This window comes from Homo sapiens, chromosome 11 (genome assembly GCF_000001405.40).
Source record: "Homo sapiens chromosome 11, GRCh38.p14 Primary Assembly".
Lineage (NCBI taxonomy): Eukaryota > Metazoa > Chordata > Mammalia > Primates > Hominidae > Homo > Homo sapiens.
This window is the reverse complement of record NC_000011.10, coordinates 104,607,490-104,615,336: the sequence shown is the minus strand read 5'-3', so window position 1 is coordinate 104,615,336 and position 7,847 is coordinate 104,607,490. Positions and strand designations below refer to the sequence as shown.

The 7,847-nt window shown below is 34.2% G+C and overlaps 1 long non-coding RNA gene across 1 annotated transcript in view; it reads left to right on the top strand.

Moving 5' to 3' along the window:
- Nucleotides 1–6,034: 6,034 nt before the first annotated feature.
- LINC02552 (long intergenic non-protein coding RNA 2552) overlaps nt 6,035–7,847 on the top strand; it is a 40,814-nt gene continuing 39,001 nt past the window's right edge. Inside the window, exon 1 of the long non-coding RNA NR_120585.1 lies at nt 6,035–6,100. This is a non-coding gene — a long non-coding RNA (long intergenic non-protein coding RNA 2552). The remainder of the gene's footprint in view (nt 6,101–7,847) is intronic.

Here is a 7,847-nt window from a genome sequence, read left to right as displayed (position 1 = left end):
AATTTCTTTTTTCCCTGCCCCTTTGACTCCAATACTAATTTGCAGTGCACTTCAACCTGGAGCAATGACACAAGATTTTACATTTGGAGTAATATACTAATAGAGCAGCAGTGAAGATGTGGCAGAAGCCAAGGAGGCTTATCTTCATGTTAGGGACACAATATGTGGAGCCGTTATATCCAGATAAGTAAATTCACCCATTCCACATGAGTAGAGTCACTATCTTAGAAGAGTGGCTAATCTGGCTTCCTGCAACCCTCTAATATCTACTTTTTCTTCTATCAAAACAACTAGAAATGCAATGATATAGAAGTTTCCAAATTTACTATAGAAACAACCTCCTTGCCAGTTCCTAATGCTTTGGCTCTCCCTTCCATTTCCATTGTGCTAAACTAGAATCATGTTAAACAAACAAGAAAGCTTCTTTATCAGAGTACAAAGATTAAAAAAGTCAACAACTTAATAAGTGTAAATAAATTTTACCATGTTTTTCAGAAAGAAATGCTCAGGCATTAAAAAGTTTGAATCTTACAAAATTAGTTGTGAATCAGGTACTAATTAATATATGATTAGACATTTTGAGACCCAAAATCAAATGAGAGCTTGGCTATCTTACCCTGAGAGAGAAGAAATCACTGAAAGGCAAATCTAGATAAAAGTCTTTGAGCAAGAACAAATGTCTCTGAGTGAGAGGTCACTCTGAGGATCCCCTAAAAGCACAAGGAATACCTTATGGGAGTTCCTAAAGGGCCAGATATTGGTATAACTGCTTCACAAAGCTGTCATTGAACCTAGTTCAGATATGGCCTGACTGCAGATATTGTACAAATGCAGTCATGCAAAAGACTCACAAAACCTTTGGTTTTCTTCTCAAACAGTCATTTTTGAAATAAATCCCAAGAAGTCAACTCCAACATGATTTCTAGGGAAGAAACTAAGCAGCTTCAGTTTTCACACTTTGTTTTCAGTTTCCAGTTGCATATTCTAACCTGTTGAGGAGTTTCATTTCTACTAAACACTATGTATTATAGATATATGTATACAGATATAATACACATACTCTATATACCCATAGTGTGTAATATATGAGTGTGTCTATATATTATATATATGTGTGTGTGTATATATATATATATAAAATATATATTTTTTTCTTTCTCGGATACTTTGCAAAATACTGACTCTCTATATATAGTATATAAGGTATATATATATATATATGGGGTCAATATTTTGCAAAGTATCTGAGAAAGAAAAATTATTTCACAAATTTTCTTATTAGTATATTCCTGGAAATTTTAATGGACCCTCATTCTGTTTTTTATACTTGAAGTAATAGATCAACTCTCCTGAGTGACATCACAATGTGAACATGAGTACTTAACAGCTACACAAAAAGAAGAAACATAAATCTGTAATAACAAGCTACAAATGCCCTTTCTATATTAGTTGAGTATTTTAAGCTCCCTTTATAGATAAGATGAGCTTCCAGTTTCACATCTGATTCTTCATTCAGGTGAGTTTTTCACCTTTCTTACTGGTGTCAGAGTGAAAGCTTTTATTCATTGTGCATTTTTCCCCCTCCTTACACAGTTTCAAAAGAGTTAAAATTTTAGGAGCTATAGAAAATGTATGGGCACTTAAACAAGACAGTGCATAAGCTAAATCCAAGTTACACCAATTTCTGACATGCAGTATATGTTAATTTATTGAGCCGTAGGCTTATATCTATGTAAAGGAAAGAATAACATCTACCAAACAAGTTTAATGTAAGAACGTAATGAATAACATATGCAAAGAATATCATTGATACCTAATAAGTATTCAATACAAGCTGTTATTGTCACAGATTTACATGTATTAAATCATCTGAGTTTTTTCTACATAAAATTGTTGAGATTTTACTTGATGAATGGGTAAAGAAAGAAAAATGTTAAATTATATATTTATTTTTTAACCAAATATTAGTTGAGCATTATACCCAGTTGTGCCATATCCTAGATAAAATGAATAAACCATGTCATCTAACAGCTCAAAGCTAAGTAGGGAAGACAGAAACACAAACATAATTACAACAGACTCTGAAAAGTGTACAAATTAGTATATGCATGAAGTATACTTGTGACTGATATAAGGGGTTTCAGTTAAGTATTCACAGAAAGAATACTTGGCCAACTCTTAAAGAATGAGTAGAAGTTCTTTACATATAACTTAAATATAAAACTACCTCAACCTTAAGTACTACAGAATACATAAACGAGTGCTCTAACAGTGAACAGACTCAAAAAACTTGATATGACCTTGTTTATAAGACTAGATCACTTTATTGATGAACTTAATAGCTCCTTACATATATCCCTTTTTGCTGAACCTGCATTAGGAATATTGAAATGCATTCTCTCTCTTTGTTCAGCCTCCTTGAACTTATCCACTCTATATATGTATAGAATCAAGAAAACAGCTGGGAATTTTTCCCTGGAGTTGCTTTCTTTTCAGCATTTATTATTTTCCTTCCTTTAAATAATATCCCATCTGCTTTTGGGAAACTACTAGTTTCGCATTATTGGTTATGCAATTTTGATGGTACTGCCTAGGGTTTATTCGCACAGCTCACACTCTTGGCCACAGTGATTGGGGTCAAAGAAAGGTTCTAACACGTTGATTATTTATTGGATGAGTTCACTAATCAATGGATGTATGCAGGCTTCAGCCAATAGGCACATTATATTTTCCTGGCCATCAGGATTGCTACAGATATTGACCAGTAATTTAGTCCAGCCCCAGAGGTGTGATCCTTAGAACAATTGTTAGGCCTGTGAGACAACAGCCTCCCTGAAGTGGGTGGTAGAAGAATGTAAAGGTTGCTGCTTGCTGCTGCTCTTGTACATCCGTTGAGAGGCACTATTCAAAGGGCTGAGCTAGCCCAGAGGGCAAGGGGCAGTGTAAAGAGAAATTCTAATCATTAGAATTTTAGTTTCTAATTAAACTGAACTACTTGTTTACATTATAGCCAATAATACCTCAGTTTTATTAATCCAATTTAAGTTGAATTGTCAATCACTTAGAGCAGAAAGATCCCTGACTGATAGATACCATCACCTTTCTGGCCAACTTGTTGCAATTCTTCATTTGCATAAGTTGGGAAACTTTTCACTTCTTAACAGTTGGGATCTTATCAGTCTACAGAGAGGCAGTCTTTTTTTTATCCATTTTCCACTTGTTTCACAAAATCAGGATGATTCAGGAACCGCCATCTATGTAACTGAGAGCACTCAAGTGTAATACTTTATGATACCTTTTGTCATCTTGTTTCTTTCCTTTATGTTATCGCTTTACTTTTCTGGTTCAGAAAGTCAATTACCATTTTCATGGGTCTTCCAATGGCCTTCTTTTCCTAAAGCACCTTATTTTTATATAGATATTTTAGCTTTTAAGAAATTGATGTATACAGTTAACACGCCGAGCACATTCTTATATTCCATGCTGTTAGGTAGCTACTAAACCGATTTACAGCCTGTCAGAGCAACTATCTCTGCAAACCACTTTACCAAAGTTTAAAATTATTTGAAAATAGTAAATTAAAAATAATTACCTGGAAAGAACTATTCTAACTTACCAATGATCGGATTCACAGGATTGCCACAAATTGGGTATGAATAATATCTAAAAATATAAAATGTAATAAAATATACATAATATTATGTGTAAAACCATATTATGTATACGATAACTTCCAAATTTGTTTTTTTTTCTGAATCACAAAGTGCTTCAACGTTATCAACAAAGATCAATTACCATGTTTCCGTGAATTTGTACATGGGCTTCTTGTTTCTTAGAGATTTATGGTTGACTGCTTGATTGATACGTTTTATCTTATTTAAATTGACTATGGTGCCATCAGTTTTTTTCTCACTTAAGTTCTACACATATATATGCATAAAATGTTGGTTATTAGTTATTCCCCTTGCTTTTCCTGCGTCATTTATTTTCTTCAATAAGCGGCTTCAGGGAAAAAAATAAAACACTGGCTAAGGATTAAAAACAGTTACTGTTCTCATCCAAGTTACAAATTAGTGTTTATAATTAAACTCCAAACTTAACAATTTCTTTGTTTTGAATCCATCCTGTTGAGTGGTTACAGAATTGTCTATTTCTTCTAACCTAATGCTAATAATGTGCTGGCTTCTACATCTTTATAATTGTTCATTAGCTTCAAGCAGTATGCTTTGACTTCTATGTCCTTGAAACTATGAAATTATGTTTCTATAATTCAGTTTTTCTTAATGTTTCTACTTTACATAGAATGTATTATGAAACTGAGATCTGAGGCATTTTTAGAAATTCTGAACGGGGGATATCAGTTTAGTCAGAACAGTGTCAAATGTGGAACCCAAACAACATAATTGGTACTTTGAGGTTGAGGTTGATGTGACATTCTCTTGAACATATTTTAATACTAATGCATATTTAAATTAAGATTTTAACCTCCTGACGTTCAAACCAACAAGCCAATCACTATCCAACTAGAGAGACATGTCTTACAAATAAGATGACACGACAAAAATCACTTGTCTTGAATCTATGTTTATTGCACAAGAGATTTGAAAAAAGACTAGTTGTTTATTAATATTTTGACAGTGAATTTTTATATTAAAATAGCTTTTCCAATGGATTATACACCCAGAAACCATCCCAAATATATTTGTCTATATCCTGAAAGGCTGCTACCTAAAAATGATGGTATGGCATGTGTTCAAACATGACATCCATTTCATTTTACAATTTTATCTTTTTATATAGCAGGTAGATTTCTGGCTATCCTACACAATATAATTTTTTGTTTCCAAGAAGACCAGATGAGGTAGGCATCTGTATTAGAAATACGCTAGACCTCCCTATCAGAATCTACCTGTCCAGAAATAGTATTATTTATTGTATCCCTTTTTGATCCTTGTTACCAGCCTCAAAGTAGCAAGGCTTCTTCAAAGAAGCTTAGCTTTGATCGTGACCAGAGCCAGGTTGACAGGTGAGATGTTAAAGTTTGTTTTGCCCCAACATGATCTTGTCATGACCCATTTTGGTGCCATGCAGCTGAAGGTATGTTTTGGTTGAGGATTCTAACTATTCTAACTTCCAGTGAATTCATGCACAGCTGGATCTTGTTGGGAAAAAGAATCATCTTTCAACCCTTCAATGGTATTTCCTACTTACCATTTCATTTAACATTTATCAGAGTGCCACCTTTGTAGTAAAATGCTGAAGTGAAAATTCTTATGTTTAATAGCAGGGAAAAGTGAAAATGATTGTATCTGATTGAATCTGTACTTGCAGTGAACAGTTTAAATTTAAATTGGGAAGGTGCCAGAGGCCTATTGGCTTCCTTCCGTAATTGTCAAGTTCCATGGAATGGAGGAAGTTATTTTAATTCCAAGTAACAAGAATAATTTTGCATCCTGAGATCCAGTGCTGCTACTTAAAACCAAAATACACCAACATTTTATGGCACAGAAATACAGAAGATCCTTCTTGCCAAATGCCTCTGTGTTTATTTACTTCAAGTCCCAGAAGAACAACCCAGATCAATTTTGCCACTGACATTATAAATAGCATAGCAAATTCATAAGGAGTCTTTTCTTCAAAGAACGGAAACTAATCTGAAGTCTGATTAAACTCACAGGGTCCTTGTGAGGGAGATGGGAAGAGGCAGAGTATTTTGTCTAATTTCAAGTTCAAGAAAGCAAAGAACACAAAAGTTAAGTGGCTGGTGTCCATTTACTCAAGTAAATGTATTCAGGAGTTGAGCCAGAAATAAAGATCAAGTCTTCTGGCCCATGCACTAGGCCCCATGCTGCCTCACAGCTTTCAAAACCTTCATTTTCTTGGGAAATGCTAAAAAGCTTTCCCCTACCATACATACTAGATTCAGACACACTGCCATCTACTGACCCACCAAAGGATGTGCCAGCACAAGACATCCTGACCTTCAAGGGAGGGAGGAACACCTTGAGAGGAGTTGAGATCCTGCTTTCTCTTCAGAATGCCATCTCTAGGATGCCAATGGGCTGTGTCTACAGTACTATGTAGGAAAGTGCTGCAAGAGGTAAGTGAATTTAGAATATTTCCTCCCCGATGAAGGGATTAGTATTCTGGCACTATTAATATTTATATAACGATGTCACAATGCACCATGTTGTCTATATGTGGGATATCCTTGAAATAACCCCTTCCTCTCGTACTCTTATTTTGACATATTCGTCTAGGGATTTGAATAGTATAAGACAGCCTTTCTTTTTCACATAAAACAGTTTGAGGAATGCCATACGATTTTTGTGTTGTCTATTTTGTCTTTCACTGGTGTCCTATAAGATGTGCTAGTTATCCTACATGATGCCAAGAAAGGCATAATAGAAACCAAGCTAAATAGCCACAGTCCTGTGCTTGTAGAAAATATCATAAAATGTCCTAAAAGAGCTCTAACAATAGGAGAACTAGGCTCCTAACTATAATTTCAGCAATATTCTTTTTCGTTCAGAGCCAAGGTATTTTTTTCCCAGAAAAAATATCAGTGTCTTTCTTGCCACATCAACCCTTTAGAGGTTGCCTACATTCTTCCTAGAATAAAAGTAACATTTTAAAGACTTCATCAAGCGATGATGAATACAATTACTGTTTTTATTCCATTTTTACAGCCAAAAATTAAAGTTATGATGTTTGTCTATTGCTTGTGATTGTACTTAGTCCATTGCCTCTAAGAAAGAAGTTGAATTTAAGTATGTGGACCATATATTTCTTTTTTGATGAGTGTAAATGGATAAAATTAATATCTTAATATATAATCAGTGTCTATAAAAGAATCCACGTAGTAGCAGAGAAGCATTTGTGCCATGCTGGTTACTTGTCTTCATTTGCTTTGAGATCTCAAGAAAAGTTTATTTCCCAGGATGGTGGTTCACAGGCATTGTGGTTGAGGACTATACATAGAAAACTAATTGTGAAAATAGAACTTATTCCTATTCTTTCAGGATATGAAATCTTATGTTCATGACAATTTAATTGTTTTTATAAAATAATTGGTTTGGCATTACAGTTAGTAAAGCAGAACTTATCCTTTGAAGTTTACAGCTTGGAACTCAATCTGAAGAAGACCACTGATTTAATTTGGAATAAATGTCTATATGTGTCCAACCAAATCTTTACAGAAATATCTTAAGTCTTCTTAGGCAGAAATAAGAAACTGTTGTTTCCAAATTTTTTAAATGTCAAGAGGGTCTCTAAAATTATGACAGAGATGAGGGATACAAGGAGAGATACATAAAGAATGGAAACATCTGGGAGTTTTACTGACTCAGTGAAACTAGGGCATTGTGAAAACCTAATTGAAAAATCTACAGAGAGAAAAGTCCAGTTCACAAATCTGGCCCTCACATGTTCAGTCCTTAGTAAAGGCTTATTAGATATTGCAAGATGAGAGTGAGGTCCAGGAATGGTTAAATGAAAAATGAGAAAATAAAAGGTTATGAGGAGAGCAGGAAGGAATAATAATAGGAGGGTGCCAAGGCATTTGAACATCTTTGTTATGAGCTTGGACAAGATGCTAGACATTTAGAAAGCTTACCTGAGTTAAACTGAACTACCAAACTTATTGAGAAGCAGTAACAAGAACAAAATGTTCTTTAGCCTTGTTCTATTTAAAGCAGATGCATGCATATTAATCTTTTACAACATGATATTTATATTTGATTCTTCTTGTAAAACCATCACAAGACATCAACTCGTCAGAATACATAGATTTTTTAAATGTTTGCAGAAACTATCTTCCTGACACTGGAATGGTGAATTAATTCAAG